Genomic DNA, 19,015 nt, shown 5'->3' with positions numbered 1-19,015 from the left:
TGTTGTCATGTTTATCAATAGATTTTTTTCCTTGGCCTTGCTTTGCCAGGATGAGTTCTCAGGTCTCATAAATATAACAGATATATGTGGTTTTAAAGAGATTAGACATTTTTCTATGAAAAGACAACTTCAGATCTGAGACAACATAGTGTCCAAAAAGAGTTAAGGTTGGGGGGCTGTAAAAGCATCACTTTTACATGCACCTGTGCTTACAGGATTTGTGTCATATTGGTTGGCCATTTTCATTGGTTACATAACATATTCTAACTTGTCAGACAGTTACTGATTGGCAACACAAATGCTTCTATAATGTACTCAGAATCAAGTTTCCATTTCAAATTATTGCTGAAACTCATTTTTAAGAACCTGTCATGAAATCACTTAAATTCTGTGCTTTATTGGGAAAATACATGCATGTCTTCAGCTTGAGACATAAGATTTTATAGCTTTAAAATTTTGTATTATGAAAAAAATCTGTTTAAAAACTCCATACATTATTTTAATATGCAAATCACAGAAAATGAAAGTCTCTTATGCAACTTCTCTTACTATTTGGAGAATATTTCTCCATAATTTTTCCTATATAATTCCTAACATGCTTGTTCATATAGTCCTTAAAATGGAATCACCATATGCCTAAACTTCTACAACTTGCTTTTCCTGCTATTACATATAAATCTATTTATTCATTTTTGATAGGAATACTATATTCCTTTGGGAAGTGGCCTATAATTTATTTGAACAGTCCTCAGTTGATAGACATTTACATAAGGTGTTAATCTTTATTTACTTTTTAAACTTAAATACAGGGATATTCACTTTTTAAAGTGAACTGCTATGAGTTTTGACAAATGAATGCAGTCATGTAACCGCCACAATTCGGATACAGAACTGCCCATCACCCCAAAAGTTTCCCCTTACTGCTCCTTTGTAATCAACCCTTTCCCCCCAAACCAGCCCTTGGCAATCACTGAGCTGTTTTCTTTTCTTATAATCTCACCTTTTCCAGAATATCACAAAAATGGAATCATGTAGATGTAGATTTTTTAATTATTATTATAATTTAAGTTTTGGGATACATGTGCAGAATGTGCAGTTTTGTTACATAGGTATACATGTGCCATGGTGGTTTGCTGCACCCATCAACCTGTCACCTACATTAGGTATTTCTCCTAATGTTATCCTTTCCCTAGCCCCACACCCCCTGACAGGCCCCGGCGTGTGATGTTCCCCTCCCTATGTCCATATTTTCTCATTGTTCAACTCCCACTTTTGCGTGAGAACATGTGGTATTTGGCTTTCTGTTCTTGTGATAGTTTGCTGAGAATGATGGTTTCCAGCTTCATCCATGTCCCTGCAAAGGACATGAACTTATCCTTTTTTATGGATGCATAGTATTCCAGGGTGTATTTGTGCCACATTTTCTTTATCCGGTCTACTATTGATGGACATTTGCGTTGGTTCCAAATCTTTGCTATTGTGAACAGTGCCACAATAAATATACATGTACATTCATGTCCTTTGCAGGGACATGGATGAAGCTGGAAACCATCATTCTAAGCAAACTATCACAAGGACAGACTACCAAACACTACATGTTGTCACACGTAAGTGGGAATGAGTAATGAGAACACATGGACACAGGGCGGGGACCATCACACACCAGGGCTGGTCAGGGGATTGGGGGCTGGGGGAGGGATAGCATTAGGAGAAATACCTAATGTAAATGACGAGTTGATGGGTGCAGCAAACCAACATGGCACGTGTATACCTATGTAACAAACCTGCACATTGTGCACATGTACCCTAGAACTTAAAGTATAATAATAATAAAATAAATAAAATAAAATAAAATAAAAACAAAAACGATATGGGTGCATGTGCCTTTGTAGTAGAATGATTTATAATCCTTTGGGTATATACCTAGTAATGGGATTGCTGGGTCAATGGTATTTCTAGGTCTAGATCCTTGAGGAATCGCCACACTGTCTTCCACAATGGTGGAACTAATTTACACTCCCAGCAACAGTGTAAAAGCATTCCTATTTCTCCACACCCTCCCCAGTATCTGTTGTTTCCTGACTTTTTAATGATCGCCATTCTAGCTGGCGTGAGATGGTATCTCATTGTGGTTTTGATTTGCATTTCTCTAATGACCAGTGATGATAAGCATTTTTTCATATGTCTGTTGGCTGCATAAATGTCTTCTTTTGAGAAGTGTCTGTTCATATCCTTCGCCCACTTTTTGATGGGGTTGTTTGTTTTTTTGTTGTAAATTTGTTGAAGTTCTTTGTAGATTCTGGATATTAGCCCTTTGTCAGATGGATAGATTGCAGAAATTTTCTCCCATTGTGTAGGTTACCTGTTCACTCTGATGATAGTTTCTTTTGCTGTGCAGAAGCTCTTTAGTTTAATGAGATCCCATTTGTCAATTTTGGCTTTTGTTGCCATTGCTTTTGGTGTTTTAGACATGAAGTCTTTGCCCATGCCTATGTCCTGAGTGGTATTGCCCAGGTTTTCTCCTAGGATTTTTATGGTCCTAGGTCTTATGTTTAGGTCTTTGATCCATCTTGAGTTAATTTTTGCTTAAGGTTTAAGGAAGGGATCCAGTTTTAGTTTTCTGCATATGGCTGGCCAGTTTTTCCCAACACCATTTATTAAATAGGGAATCTTTTTGCCATTGCTTTTTTGTGTCAGGTTTGTCAAAGATCAGATGGTTGTAGATGTGTGGTGTTATTTCTGAGGCTCTGTTCTGTTCCATTGGTCTATATCTCTGTTTTGGTACCAGTACCATGCTGTTTTGGTTACTGTGGCCTTGCAGTCTAGTTTGAAGTCAGGTAGCGTGATGCCTCCAGGTTTGTTCTTCTTGCCCAGAATTGTCTTGGCTATGTGGCCTCTTTTTTGGTTCCATATGAAGTTTAAAATAGTTTTTTCCAATTCTGTGAAGAAAGTCAGTGGAGGCTTGATGGGGATAGCATTGAATGTATAAATTACTTTGGGCAGTATGGCCATTTTCACAATACTGATTCTTCCTATCCATGAGCATGGAATGTTCTTACATTTGTTTGTGTCCTCTTTTATTTCGTTGAGCAGTGGTTTGTAGTTCTCCTTGAAGAGGTCCTTCACATCCCTTGTAAGTTGGATTCCTAGGTATTTTATTCCCTTTGTAGCAATTGGGAATGGGAGTTCACTCATAATTTGGCTCTCTGTTTGTCTGTTATTGGTGTATAGGAATGCTTGTGATCTTTGCACATTGATTTTGTATCCTGAAACATTGCTGAAGTTGCTTATCAACTTAAGGAGATCTTGGACTGAGATGATGGGGTTTTCTAAATATACAATCATGTCATCTGCAAACAGAGACAATTTGACTTCCTCTCTTCCTATTTGAATACTCTTTATTTCATTCTCTTGCCTGATTGCCCTGGCCAGAATTTCCAACACTGTGTTGAATAGGAGTGGTTAGAGTGGGCATCCTTGTTTTGTGCTGGTTTTCAAAGGGAATGCTTCCAGTTTTTGCCCATTCAGTATGATATTGGTTGTGGGTTTGTCATAAATAGCTCTTAGTATTTTGAGATACATCCCATCAATACCTAGTTTATTGAGAGTTTTTGGCATGAAGGGGTGTTGAATTTTGTTGAAGGCCTTTTCTGCATATCTATTGAGATAATCATATAGTGATTGTGTGATTGGTTATGGTTCTGTTTATGTGATGGATTACGTTTATTGATTTGCATATGTTGAATCAGTCTTGCATCCCAGGGATGATGCCAACTTGATCATGGTGGATAAGCTTTTTGATGTGCTGCTGGGTTTAGTTTGCCAGTATTTTATTGAGGATTTTCGCATCGATGTTCATCAGGGATATTGGCCTGAAATTTTCTTTTTTTGTTGTGTCTCTGCCAGGTTTTGGTATCAGGATGATTCTGGCCTCATAAAATGAGTTAGGGAGGATTCCCTCTATTTCTGTTGCTTGGAATAGTTTCAGAAAGAATGGTACCAGCTCCTCTTTGTACCTCTGGTAGGATTCGGCTATGAATCTGTCTGGTCCTGGACTTTTTTTGGTTGGGTGGCTGTTATTGCCTCAATTTCAGAACTTGTTATGCTTTATTCAGGGATTCGATTTCTTCCTGGTTTAGACTTGGGAGGGTGTTGTGTCCAGGAATTTATCCATTTTTTCTAGATTTTCTAGTTTATTTGCATAGAAGTGTTTATAGTATTTTCTGATGGTAGTTTGTATTTCTGTGGGATCAGTGGTGATATCCCCTATATCTTTTTTTATTGCATCTATTTGATTCTTCTCTCTTTTCTTCTTTATTATTCTGGCTAGTGGTCTATCTATTTTGTTGTTCTTTTGAAAAAGCTAGCTCCTGGATTCATTGATTTTTTGAAGGATTTTTCGTGTCTCTATCTCCTTCAGTTCTGCTCTGATCTGAGTTATTTCTTGTCTTCTGCTAGCTTTTGAATTTGTTTGCTCTTGCTTCTCTAGTTCTTTTAATTTTGATGTTAGGATGTCAATTTTAGATTTTTCCTCCTTTCTCTTGTGGGCATTTGGTGCTATACATTTCCCTCTACACATTGCTTTAAATGTGTCCTAGAGATTCTGGTATGTTGTGTCTTCTTTCTCAGTGGTTTCAAAGAACATCTTTATTTCTGCCTTCATTTCGTTATTTACCCAGTAGTCATTCAGAAGCAGGTTGCTAAGTTTCCATGTAGTTAGGCAGTTTTGAGTGAGTTTCTTAATTCTGATTTCTAATTTGATTGCACTGTGGTCTGAGAGACTGTTTGTTCTGATTTCCATTCTTTTGCATTTCCTGAGGAGTGTTTCACTTTCAATTATGTGGTCAATTTTAGAATATGTGCAATGAGGTGCTGAGAAGAGTATATATTCTGTTGATTTGGGGTGGAGAGTTCTGTAGATGTCTATTAGGTCTGCTTGGTCCAGAACTGAGTCCAAGTCCTGAATATCCTTGTTAATTTTCTGTCTCATTGATCTGTCTAATATTGACAAGGGTTTGTTAAAGTCTCCTACTATTATTGTGTGGGAGTCTAAGTCTCTTTGTAGGCCTAATAACTTGCTTTATGAATCTGGGTGCTTGTGTATTGGGTGCATATATATTAAGGATAGTTCACTCTTCTTGCTGCATTGATCCCTTTACCGTTATGTAATACCCTTCTTTGTCTCTTTTGATCTTTGTTGGTTTAAAGTCAGTCTGTTTTATCAGAGATTAGGATTGCAACCCCTGTTTTTTGTTTTTTGTTTGTTTTTGTTTTTGTTTTGCTTTACATTTGCTTGGTAAATATTCCTCCATCCCTTTATTTTGAGCTTATGTGTGTCTTTGCAGGTGAGATGGGTCTCCTGAATACAGCACACTGATGGGTCTTGACTCTTTATCCAATTTGCTAGTCGATGTCTTTTAATTGGGGGCATTTAGCCTATTTACCTTTAAGGTTAATATTGTTATGTGTGAATTTGATCCTGTCAGTATGATGCTAGCTGGTTATTTTGTCCATTACTTGATGCATTTTCTTCATAGTGTCAATGGTCTTTACAATTTGGTATGTTTTTGCAGTGGCTGGTACCGATTGTTCCCTTCCATGTTTAGTGCTTCCTTCAGGAGCTCTTGTAAGGCATGCCTGGTGGTGACAAAATCTCTCAGCTTTTGCTTATCTGTAAAGGATTTTATTTCTCCTTCACTTATGAAGCTTAATTTGGCTGGATATGAAATTCTGGGTTGAAAATTCTTTTCTTTAAGAATGTTGAATATTGGCCCCCACTCTCTTCTGGCTTGTAGAGTTTCTGCCAAGAGATCCACTGTTACTCTGATGGGCTTCCCTTTGTGGGTAACCCGACCTTTCTGCCTGGCTGCCCTTAACATTTTTTCCTTCATTTCAACCTTGGTGAATCTGATGATTGCATGTCTTGGAGTTGCTCTTCTCTAGGAGTATCTTTGTGGTGTTCTCTGTATTTCCTGAATTTGAATGTTGGCCTGTCTTGCTAGGTTGGGGAAGTTCTCCTGGATGATATCCTGAAGAGTATGTTTTCCACCTTGGTTCCATTCTCCTCGTCACTTTCAGGTATACCAATTAAACATAGATTTGGTCTTTTCACCTAGTCCCATAGTTCTTAGAGGCTTTGTTCATTCCTTTTCATTCTTTTTTTCTCTAATCTTGTCTTAACTGTTTATTTCATTAAGTTGATCTTCAATCATTGATATCCTTTCTTCCGTTTGATCAATTTGGCTATTGAAACTTGTGTATGGTTCATGAAGTTCTCGTGCTGTGTTTTTCATCTACATCAGGTCATTTATGTTCTTCTCTAAACTGGTTATTCTAGTGGGCAGTTCGTCTAAACTTTTGTCTTTGTCATGGTTCTTAGCTTCCTTACATTGGGTTAGAACATGCTCCTTTAGCTAAGAGGAGTTTGTTATTACCCACATTCTGAAGCCTATTTCTGTCAGTTTGTCAAACTTATTCTACGTCAAGTTTTGTTCCCTTGCTGGCAAGGAGTTGTGATCCTTTAGAGGAGAAGAGGCCTTTTAGAGGAGAAGAGGCCTTCTGGTTTTTGGAATTTTCATCCTTTTTGCACTGGTTTCTCCCCATCTTTGTGGATTTAGCTATCTTTGGTATTTGATGTTGGTAACCTTCAGATGGGGTCTTTGAGTGGATGTGCTCTTCCTTTCTGCTTGTTAGTTTCCCTTCTAACAAGCCCTTCTGCTGCCAGTCTGCTGGAGTTTGTTGGAGGTCCATTCCTGACCCTGTTTGCCTGGGTATCACCAGTGGAGGCTGCAGAACAGCAAAGATTGCTGACTTTCCTCTGGAAGCTTCATCCCACAGGGGCACCTACCAGATGCCAGCCAGAGCTCTCCTGGATGTAGCCTTTTAAATATAGCTTCTTTCACTTTGCATAATGCATTTGTTATGTGTGTCAAGAGTTTAATTATTTTTATAGAAAAGAAGTCTTCTGCTGTGTGGGAGTACCAATGTATTTATTCATTAGCCAGGTGAATTGAATTATTTCCAGTTTTTGAAATTATCAATAATGCCATTATAAATATGCATGTATTGGCTTTTATATGTCCATCAACTTTAATTTCACTTGGGTGAATGTTCAAGATTGGAATTACAGGGTCATATAGGTAAGTATGTGTTTATCTTCATAAAAACTGCTAGATTGGCCGGGTGTGGTGGCTCACACCTGTGATCTCAGCACTTTGGGAGGCTGAGGCAGGGAGATCACCTGAGGTCAGGAGTTCGAGACCAGCCTGGCTAACATGGTGAAACTCCGTCTCTACTAAAAATGCAAAATTAGTTGGGCATGGTGGCATGCGTCTGTAGTCGCAGGTACCCGGGAGGCTGATGCAGGAGAATCGCTGGAACCCAGGAGGCAGAGGTTGCAGTGAGCTGAGATCGCGCCACTGCACTCCAGCCTGGGTGACAGAATGAGACTCTGTCTCAAAAAAAAAAAAGGCTAGATTTTTTTCCAAAGTGTCTGTACCATTTTGCATTCTCATGTGCAATATAAGAAGGTTCCAGTTCTGCATATCCTTACCAGCACTTAGTATTGTCAGGATTTCCTTTTTTGTTTCTGTTTTTTGAACCATTCCAGTAGGTTTGTAGCTACCACTCATTGTGGTTTTTATTTTCATTTCCCTAATGACTAATGATACTGAGTATCTTTTCATGTGCTTATTTGCCATTCATATATCTTCTTAGGTAAAGTATCAGTTCAAATATTTTCCCATTTTTTCATTGGGTTGTTTCCTATATTGAATTTTGAGAGTTCTTTATGTTTTCTAGATATAATTCCTTTAACAGATATTATTTTGCAAATATTTTCTCCTAGACTGTGTTTTTCATTTTGTTCGCTCAACTGTGTCTTTAATAGATCAGAAGTTTTAAATTTTTATTATATTCAATTTACCAATTTAAAAGGGATTATGATTTTGGTGTCATGTCTAAGAAATCTAAGAAATCTTTGCCTAACCTAAAACCACAAGGAGTCTCTTGTATGATTTCTTCTAGAAGTTTTATAATTTTACCTTTAAATTCAGATCTATGATCTATTTAGAATTAATTTTCCTATAAGGTACAAAGTGTTAGTTGAGGTTCATTTTTTGGATTACAGATGGTAGTTGCAGTACCATTTATTGAAAAGATTATTTTTCCCCATTGAACTGCCTTTGCACATTTATCAAAATCAGTTGATCATATATGTGTGGATATGTTTCTAAACACTGTATTCTGTTCCAGAGTTAAGAATTTTAAAGACCTACCATAGTGCTTCTAAATTTACCCAAGAAATGAAGTTCCCAAACCCCTTTAGACCATGTTGTTGTTTATAGCTTAATGAAGTCAAAATGAACACATCTTTTAGTTAAATTCAAGTTATAGAAACTCGAATTGTTTAAGGCACAGGTCTTCAAGGTGGAGTGCATGTACAATATGATCTAAAGAAAGAAAAGAAAGAAAATATTAGAGCTTCTATCTTGCTTTCTGGGCCTCTGACCACCTGTTTACCAGAAGGCCTTGCCTCATTCCCCTCTTGCCTCTTGGAGCAGTTTAGTAGAAAGTGGAACTCACCAGGGTTGGACGGGGTAGAAGAACAAAGTTAAGGAAAAGCAATTTTTGCACACCTTTGTTTAAATTTTTTTTTTCGTAAGATTTTTCCAAAGATGAAGATTGGCATAAACTTTTCCAGATTCTTCCTAAAAGGGAAAGTGTGAAATTACAGAATAATTTCCTCTTAAATACACACACATACCACACATCACAAGAAAAATTTTACAGCTCGATATTTGTTTAAGCCAAAAAGAATAGAATTATTTTTGTTACTAAAAGCTTGCCTTCTTTGTACTGGAATGGAGTACTAGAAACTGCCATCTTTTTCGTTTCAACCAGCAAGATTTCAAAGCAAGCTATAAAATATGTGTAACATGCGTTTGTCAATGAAATGGTTCAGAAAATAACCTGCTTGCCTACTTGTCTCTCACCTCCAGTGTGCCAGCTTACTATGCACTGGTCCTACTTAACCTTCAAAAGTCCTGAGAACATTTCATCAAGTAACTGATTCAGCTTTGTGGTAGAATTGAGAAAAAAACTTAGTTTGGCAAGCTTGAAAAGAGCCTGGTAGTCACTCCCCCTTTATACTTAACCCATAAAATACTTGACCAGGGAAAACTTAAAACCCCGGGGAAGAGCTTTCTTCCTCTTCTTTTTTTCTTCTTACTCTCTCCCTCTATCCTTCCCTCTCTCCCTTTTCTTCCATCTCTATTGAATAAGAAGCATTCCATCTCTATTGAATAAGAAGCACTCTATTGAATAAGAAGCACTCTATTGAATAAGTAGCATTGAGCCATAATATGAGGAAATCACCGAAAAAATAAGACATAGTTCCTCCTTGATTGTGTTGAACAGAGAACATATATCCATGGGAGAGAGAAGGAGTACTATAGTATGATTCACAAAGAATTAGCCTACAAATAATTTTACCTAGTTTTTCCAAGGTATGTTTATATTTGTTATCAATAAAATAAAATATTGGCAGTATTTTGTCTAATTTGACAACAAAAAGAATTTAAAGAATAAAACTTTAAGCATTTCTCTCATATTTTTCTTTTTCTCTTTTATTTATTTATTTATTTATTTTTTGAGACAGGGTCTTGCTCTGTCACCCAGGCTGGAGTACAGTGGCGCAATCTCTGCTCACTGCAACCTCCGCCTCCCAGGTTCAAGTGATTCTCATGCCTCAGCCTCCTAAGTAGCTGGGACTACAGGAGCCTGCCACCACGCCCAGCTAATTTTTGTATTTTTAGTAGAGACAAGGTTTCACCATATTGTCCAGGCTGGTCTCAAACTCCTGACCTCAAGTGATCAGGCTGCCTCGGCCTCCCAAAGTGCTGGGATTACAGGCATGAGCCACCATGCCCGCCCACATATATTTTTCTTAAAACTTTAATATTGCTACCATAGTCTATCCCATAAAGAAAAAAAAAATAAAATCTTAATTAGTACAAAAATGTACTTACTTTACTTTCTTTCTTTATTGTTTTTCTTTATGTATTTATTTAGAGATGGGGTCTCACTCTGTCACCCAGGCTGGAATGCAGTGGTTTGAATGCAGCTCACTGCAGCCTCAGCCTCCTGGGCTCAAGCGATCCTCCCACCTCAGCCTCCCGAGTAGCTGGGACTACAGGTGGGTGCCACCACACCTGGCAAATTTTTGTATTTTTTGTAAAGGCAGGGTTTTGCCATGTTGGCCAGGCTGGTCTCGAACTCCTGGTCCCAAGTGATCCGCCTGCCTTGGCCTCCCAACATGCTGGAATTACAGGCATGAGCCACCGCTACCAGCCTACTTTTTATTAAATATATGTATATTAATTGTTCATACTCTTCTGTAGATCACTCCCAGACTTCCAGGTGAAGAACTTAAAGAATTGCCAAAGTAACAAATGCAAAGAGTAGGTGGAGTTATAGACTCTTGGGGCTGGGAGAGATTTCTCTAATCACCCTATCCAAGGACGTTGGAAAACCAACACTGAGCAGGTCAGCCCACTTTACCTACATCACTGCGCAGGACACTTCAGAGCTGGACCAGTTCTTTCCTGAAGGTGCATCAGACTGTGGCCAAAAAAAAAAAAGAAGTGTGTGGGGCTGGGTAACTGAGCAGACCTCATGAAGGAGGGTGGACAAACAAGGCCTGGAAGGATGGGAAGAACAGGGTAAGCTGAGAGGATGTGTTTGCAGAACTCTGGAGTTTAGAACCCTTCAGGGAAAAAAGCCCATGGTTCTGGATGAGGCTAGCTCAACAAAAGACAGGTCTGTTCACTGATAATGTGGTCAATTAGGAACTTAAGGAGATTGTTACCTTGGTGTATATTAACTCTATCAGGTCACTAGGGTGACAGGCAATTCATTGCTGTTTCAAAACAGTAATTTGTACACATATCATTTGGCCAGAGAAGTTATACACTTTCACTAGCAGGGAAAAAACTGAAAGAGTTTAGTAACCATTGTCAACTTTGGAATTTGTCATTCTCCATTTCTTGCCTTTTCCTTTTAAGAAAAAATGATGGTTTGAATTTAAAAGTTTGCATTTTATGTTTTTTCTGCTTGCCCTGCACTGTATCCTATTAGAGTGACCTTCAAGTAATGGCAGTACTACTACTCTAGTTGTCTAGAAGTTATGGAGTATTTCAGACACCCAAAAGGATCTGGCTCCTAGAGTGATTGCCTAAAACGCTACATGATGATAAGCCAGTATGGATTTGCAGGGTTCTCACTGTAATTTTATCCACATGTCCCTAGCTGGCAAGATTAATTCAGCCCTGAAAATGCTAATCTTCAAACATGGCTCTGATATCCTTGTTTCCCATTTAGTGCATCATTTAAAAACTGGCCTTGTGGCTATGTTGCTGTAGCAGGACTGCACTAGGAAATTGGAGGCAGCATTCTTATCTCATGTTAAGTCATCTGTTTAGCCAACAAATACCTATAGAATGTCAACCATGTACCAGGCATTGTGCTAGGCGTCGGAAGCACAGTGATAACTCCTGCCCTGGTGGAACTTAATTAAGTTATGCCTCTAATTAGCAGTGGGCTCTGGGCAAGTTTTCCTTTCTAAATGCAGGACTTGGACTGGATATTCTTGAAATGTCTTTTACAATGGGAATATTCTACTCCTGAAAGCAGCGAGTTTCCTAGAATCTCTGAGTGGAACTGAGGGGCAATTTAAACAGTGTGGAAGAAACTCTGTAATCACAGTTTAACAAAAAGAATTTTAGTTTTTTCTGTGTCTTATTTTGTTGTTGTTGTTGTTTTTCTGGTGGTGATAGCTTACTTTTCTGGAAAATTGTATGAAATTTTTCCTGAGAAGGAGAAAGAAAAAAAAAATGAAAAACCGTAGTCATTTACATATCCATGTTCATGAAAGTACATAAGAACATAATTCAGTCTAAGTAAAAAGATTTCTTGAAACTTTTAACATATGAAATTATCCCTGTGGAAATCAAGTATGTTAGTTTTATACATGTATTTAACAGAGGTTACATTTTGACAAACTATTATTTAAAAATCCAGTCCATAAGATCCATGAGGTGACTCCAGTTAAATAAATGTTGTGTGTGTGCTGTGGTGCACAGCAGCAGGCCACAGGGGCCTCGTCCTCCAGGAGCTCACAATGTGGTAGTTTTTCCCGCATCAATTGAATAGCTTTTTCAAAATCTCTTTTTTTAACTCAAATTTTTAGCATTTATAATGGAAATATTCAGCTCTTGGATAGTCGGTAGATCACAACAGAACATGCTGAGATGGCATAAGAGTGAAAAATTAGCATAAGAGTCCTACTTGGCAGTGAAAAATTGTGCTTTGATAAACTGATAGAGATTGAGAAATAACTATCTGCCTACTGTGTGATCTCTAAATTGTACTTACTAGGCATTCTCCATCAGCAGCATGGAGAATATATGTTTTCTTTGATGTGTTTTTTGGTTTGGAAGTATCTATGTTGTTTGGCATCAATTAAACTAAAAGATGTTCTCATAGATTAACAAGAATGTTTATTTTAATGTTGATTTTCTAATTTCATTGTAAGAAGGATATCCCTATCTGTGCTTCATTCATGATAACTTGGAAATAAAGATATTTTTATTTGTATAAGTGTGATTTGAGAGTTTGAAAAACTGAATGTGGTATTATATGACCAAGTATAGATTTCTGTTTCAGATGTGGCCACCCAGAAGGGCTAAGCCACCTTCCCCTCTATTTCTTACCCCCTTCTTCTGTTCATTCCATTCCTTTTTTTCGTAACTATAGTAATGGAAGCTTTCAGCAGAGCCACACAGAGGGGCCGTGGAGATGCCCACAGGTTGGATTAATCACATGTGCCCTGTTTATCTGTGAATAGATAAGGTAGAGTATAACCAGTGGGACAAATGCAGTGGATACTCACAGAGCCTAAGCTAATATTCTAGGGGGAGTCAAGAGGGGTTTAGAAGCTGTGTCAATGTCTTCAGGTTACCAAGGACTGCTTTCTTCAAAATGCTTGGGCCCTGCGATAATCTGAGCCAATGTGTGATGATTGAGGTGGTAACAGGACCAGAGTTAAAGGGACTCTGGAACCCCTTCAGAGTAACGTCATCCCATGGGTTAGCTGAAAACCTTATTTGGAGTGGCTGAAGGCAAAAAAAAAAAAAGGCCTGAGACATAAACACCTTTCAATAAAAGTACTATCCCTAATGATTGCTGAAAAAAACATGGGAATATTTTATTTTTATTTTTTAGAATTTTGGCAGAAAGTAGTGGTCTCAATTTGGCACTGGATGGCCAGTCTTCAAAACAAGTGAAACCAAATATCTAGAAAGAACCAATAGTGTCTTAGCCTACCATTTATTCATGCAACTATTCATTCAACTATTTATAGCTTGCCTACTTTATGTCACTTCCCCTCAATCTTCTTTTCATCTCTACAACCATTTCTTCAATATCTTCCTCCAAGTTGATTATGCCATCTTAAAAACAGGGCTTTAAATCTCATCTCTCAACCTATTACCTGGGACAAGCTGGATGAAAAGCCTTTGGTGTTCAGTGTTTGTTAGCCAGTTTGAGTTAAATAAGAAAAGATTGAGCCAGCCACCACTTCTTTGGATTTTTTCTGGGGCCAAATGTTAGCCTAGAATCCTTCTTTTTGGGGAGGTAAGTGAATCTTCAAGTCTTCAGGTTTTCTTGTGATGGCTAGCACTTGGTGTCAGGGTTTTAGAAGCGCAGCCACAAGAATTTAATGAAAGCAGACTTCTTGAAACCAGCAGGTTTCCATTGGTTGGTTGTTTCTAGATGCCCAAGAATAAGGCTGCTGCTGACTGTGGAGTTTGTGTTCCAAGCCAGCCTCAGATTCATTTGAATTACAGTGTCTCTAGAACTCTGGCTTGTCATCAGTAGGGCTTCCCTCCACCACCACCCCCAATCTCCCACATTCTCAATGTCGAGATGAAGTTTTCCCTCAAATGATTAACTGCACATGGTAAGAGTATGTCATCCAGTGGTGACAGAGCTCATACTGAACAGAGCTACTGTCCATCTTCAGGTTTCAGTCTAGAAACCTCTGAGACTAGCACTTGCAGTTGCATTTATTAATACTATGCCTCATTCCAAAAGACGTCCAAAGCAGTTTGCAGAGAAACAGACTACAAAAACAGTGATAATACCAGGGCAAAAGAGAATAGAAAACGTGAAGCTAAAGGTATGATAAAGAAAATCATGGACTTTAATTCATGAAATAAAATTCATATGTCCTATATAGATGAGATTGATCTAGATTTGACACAGCTTCCTAGCAGCCAAAGAAAAGTGAGAACTAAGATTAGTTAGAATTTGGGATTGTGAGGAGAGGAAGGGGTCTAATATCACAGCAATCTGCCCACCCAGACACCACTCTGTGAGTAGGGGCTAAGCCTCCTGAATTCTTGGTACCTCCTACGGCCATACCAATATTTTTAGGGCCAGGTTCACATGGGTTCATGATTCCTTTTTCCAAAGCGTACCTTTGGAAACTGATATCCAAGTTTTCCAAAGTGCAGTTTTGGAATAGAGAATTCATTGAATTGGAGTCACAACCCATTGCAGATGTCAACTCCTCATCTTAGCAATATTCATCTTTGGGGGAGCAAATTCAAATCAGAATGAAGGAATGAGATGTAGCTGCAAAATTAAATGTAATATCACAGGAAAGGACTTTTCCTCCCTGGAGTCTAGTTTTACATTTAGACCCACGTACCCATGAGTCTAAGTATTTCCTAAACTCTCTATGCACAAAGGTCTCAAGAAGATAACAACAACTCATGATCACCATAAATTAAATCAATTGCCTGTGATGCACTAAAGAGGTTTAATGTGGCTCTTTTAGCCTTTTGGATAGTTTTCAAAATGCCTGTAGAAGCACTGCTTTATAGATTTACCTTGGCGCCCCATTCATTCATTTATACAATAAATAATTCTCACACTCTTACTATGTGCCAGGCACTGTGCCAAGCACTAGGGATAAAGCAATGAATAAAAATGTCAGTCTCCACACCCCTACAGTTATAATTATTATTTTGTTATTGTTACTTAACATTAAGAAAAAAACTTAACTCTTGTTGCATTTTCTTCTAGCCAACCAACCAGCCTCTTAAGTATTATCTCATTTCTATTTTGATCTCTAAATTACTCTGTGAGGTAGTCTGGCAGGAATTAATCCCCTCTTTAGAGATCAGGAGAAAGTTTAAAACTTGCCAAGGCCACGCAGAGCAGGGATCCAAAACCAGTTCTCCCAACTCTAAGGCCTAAACTTTCTCTCTTAGACTATTCTCCCAATTAGGCATTTTCCCTTCATTTTCTGACCTCCAATTTGCTAGATGGAAAAGGATAAGCAGCTCTTTATGATACTATAAATACAGATATACAGATTTCTCAGAAAACCAAGCAAGCAAAAAGGAATAATTGGAACACACGTTATTTTTAGACTGCTGCCTGATTTAATGTGAGCCTTCAATGACCTTAGAGGCCCTAGATGGGGGATCAGGCATATTTTCAGGGCTGACTTATAGGTGGAGGGGAATAGAAAGATACTGTGTTCTTATTCTTTGTCACTATCAATTTAAAAGTAAATTAAGTCCCCCAGTAAGAGAAAATAACATTTTTCCATGTTTGTTCCTTTTTACATGCATCTCTCAATAGTTAACATTTGACATCCTTTTGCAGTCCAGCCTCCTTTCCCAACTTGCCAGGGATAATATTTTCCCTATTCCCAAAGCCTTGAAGAACAAGAAATTATAGTGGAAGTGTTTCTGACAACAACACAAATCACCTGACAACATCCCCATTGGCATTTACCATCATGCTCTATGATACATGGACCTGTGACCCCCTCCTCATTTTTCACACCAGGATGCTGGCATCCAGTCATTGGGGTAGAACTGGCTCAGTAATGTTTTCCATCTGCTGGCTTGGCACCAGTCATCATAGAGTGTCACCTGGGTTCTGTCTTACAGTTTCCAGGGCCAAGGTTAGGGATGCTACAGAAGAACAACTACATATTCTTCTGTCGGCACTGTGAACAAAACAAGATTTTGCTGAAGTATCTAAAATAAATTTACTGGAGGAAAAAAAGTCTAGTCAAAAAGTTCAGAAATGCTTTTTTCTACCATCTCTCTTCCTTTCTTCTCTCCCACATCTTCAAATCCTGATAGATCTCGAATGTCACCTTCTCTAAGGAGCTTTTCCCAACACCCTCACCCTTGACTTGCCGCTGCGCCCCTGGAGAACTTAATGCATACCGCATTGCATTGCCATTATTTATTTGTATTTTCCTCTCTCCCACTAGACAGTAAACTCTTCAAAGGAGAGTAGCCACTGTATCTTTTAAAGTTCATAACATACAGTATGTTTCTGTTGAGGAAATGATTTGCAAGTTTAGAAAAAATTAGTAATCTCTGTTAGTTTTAAACTAAACCTACAGGAATAAATTATGTTGAAAGTTGCTATTATTAAAAATGAAGTACTTTAAAATGTTTTTCTTCTATAAAATGTTAGAAATAGGAAGTTTATTGTTTTGGGTTTCAAGTTATCCTTTTAAAGATACATTTTTAAAAACAATTGCAATTTTGTGTTGTTGAAACTCACAGGACATGTAAAATTATTCAGGTCATTTAGATTTGACCTCAGACATGTGGCAACTCTGTCATGAATTAAAAGGCCCAATAAGTTTGTGCTTATCATTCTAAAATGGGTTTCTGCTTTACTTGAAAATTTCACATTATTAGTATATTGTCATCTAAAAGATGTACATGCTTAGTCAAGGTAGAGCTCATTTCTAAAAGAATGTAACACTTTTAAAATATCTACCACTTCGATGATGGCTTGCACAGTTTAGGGTTACATGATGAGGTGGCCACAGGAGCAATTCTGGAAGAAGGAATGTGGGGCAAAAATTTCACTTGAACAGAAGCCAAAACCACCCACCCTAGCATTAAGACCCTTCACACCAAATTTTCATCAAAGGGCAGGAACAGGTAGTCATGATTTGCTCTCATTTAAACACAGCCTAGGCACCCTAGCTCCATCTTGTTTAATCCATGGTTCCTAGGACTATATATGGGAAGTCTTTATCTGCCCTGTGTGGCGGTGGTGTATTTCATTTGTACCCTCGGTCAGTCACATGATCCTTCCTATTTGCAGGGGAGGCTGGGAAACGTGGGCTACTGTGTACCCAGGAAGGAAAGGACTGTGCTGAACAGCTATCTAGTCTCTGAGATCTGAAAGCATCTCACAGGATAACTTGTTTCAGGCATAGGGTCATGGGAGTCGATGAGGGTATACCAACACCAGAGCTATTTGAATGATTAGGATTTAGTGACTGACTGGATGGGGATGTAGAAAGACAGATGATAAGACTGACAGTTTCTTAACCTTTCCCTATCTTTGTCCTTTTGAGGCTCTCTGAAAATTATTTCTAAAAAACAACTGGACAAGGTTCTGGATAGTTGTCTGTTGCAAAGTTGTTCTGAAACAGTAACCGATTAACTCACAAGATGTGTGTAAACTGGCTTTCCACATCCACTCTAGATCATGTGAATTTTCAGAGGGACCATAGTTTGATTTGAAAAGGCATCATCTAATTAATGTGAATTAACATTAGCAAGTACAGTACTGTTACAGACACATTAAAGGCTTTACAGAGAAGAAAAGTCATGAAATGACATGCTAATTTAGTATGTGGGCACCGGAAGAGCTATTACCTATTCAAAAATAGTTGTAAAAGAAAAGAATCAGCCAAGACAAGCTGGTTGCTAATGGTTTTAGTGTGGGAGGAGAAAACTGCATTGCAATTCTTGGCTCTGAGTTAGGGTCAGGAAGATCAGTAGCCCAGCGTTGACCTTTGTGTTTGGAATCTTTCATATTGACTCACCAGACGCTTGTAATTTGGTGAGCCAGATAACAGAAATGTAGACAAGGTCTCTGTGCCTGAACTTTAAACCTCCGAGTAGCTTGTCCTTTATGATAATAATTAGCATTGCTTGGGATCTAAAGCAGAGTAATCACCTAAGACCTACCATATTAATCTAAATTAACTCAGTAAGTTACCACCAGAGAACCCACTGGGAAAATGAAGGTGGGAAGCTGAGAAGCTCAGCTGCATAACTTTATATATTGTTTGTTTGTAAGTCTGTTTGGAGGTGATTTTTTTAAGTGATATGTCTCACAGAAGGAAAGAATTTCAACAACGTTGATACAATCACACATTTACAAGTGTCAGGGTTGTCCAACCCCTTTGAATCCAAGAGGAACTTTTACTCCTTATTTCTTCTCCTGATGTTGAAGTAGTAAGTGTTCTTTTATAATCAGGCCAATGGTATTATTTTAAATTAAGTAATATCTATTTATGGTAGAAAAGTATGAAGATAAACATTTTAAATAGAATTTATTCTCACCATCTAGTCACTGTAAATATTTTGATAAACTTATTTCAATTCATAAGCATATACATATAAGTATCTATCTATCTATACACCTACATAAACAGGGCTTTAAATACAAGTTAATCTTTATATGAAAGGTACTTCCCAAATTATTCATTTTCAAAAGTTTGTTTTTAATGTTGTATTATAAGATTTACTATTTTTTATTTAAGCATTTTCCTATTTTTGTACATTTCAGCTGTTTCCAGCTTTTGAACATCCTTGTGCATAAATCTTTGTCCTTATCTTTGATTACTTCCTTAGGAGAAAGTCTTAGAAATGGAATTACTAGGTCAAAGGTTATAATCCTTTTTAAGGCTCCTAATATCTATTGAACACATTGCACCCTGGGAAATTTGCTGCAGTTCATTCCTATCATCTGGGTATGAGAGGACCCATCTGACCAAAATCATTCCAACACTATTATTCTTTACTTATCAAGTAGAAATTGGACATGTTAGGGCCTCTATAGCTTTACGGGCTGCTTTGCTTCCTAACTGGCCATCTTGAGTATACACTGTGAG

The 19,015-nt window shown here is 38.0% G+C and overlaps 1 protein-coding gene across 4 annotated transcripts in view; it reads left to right on the top strand.

Annotated features, from left to right (window-relative positions):
* Nucleotides 1-19,015, top strand: part of SCFD2 (sec1 family domain containing 2) — a 493,080-nt gene that overhangs the window by 328,164 nt on the left and 145,901 nt on the right. The window lies entirely within an intron of this gene.

Source organism: Homo sapiens, chromosome 4 (assembly GCF_000001405.40).
Source record: "Homo sapiens chromosome 4, GRCh38.p14 Primary Assembly".
NCBI classification, from domain to species: Eukaryota; Metazoa; Chordata; class Mammalia; order Primates; family Hominidae; genus Homo; species Homo sapiens.
Note: the sequence above shows the minus strand (reverse complement) of the source record. Positions and strands in the feature narration are given on the sequence as shown.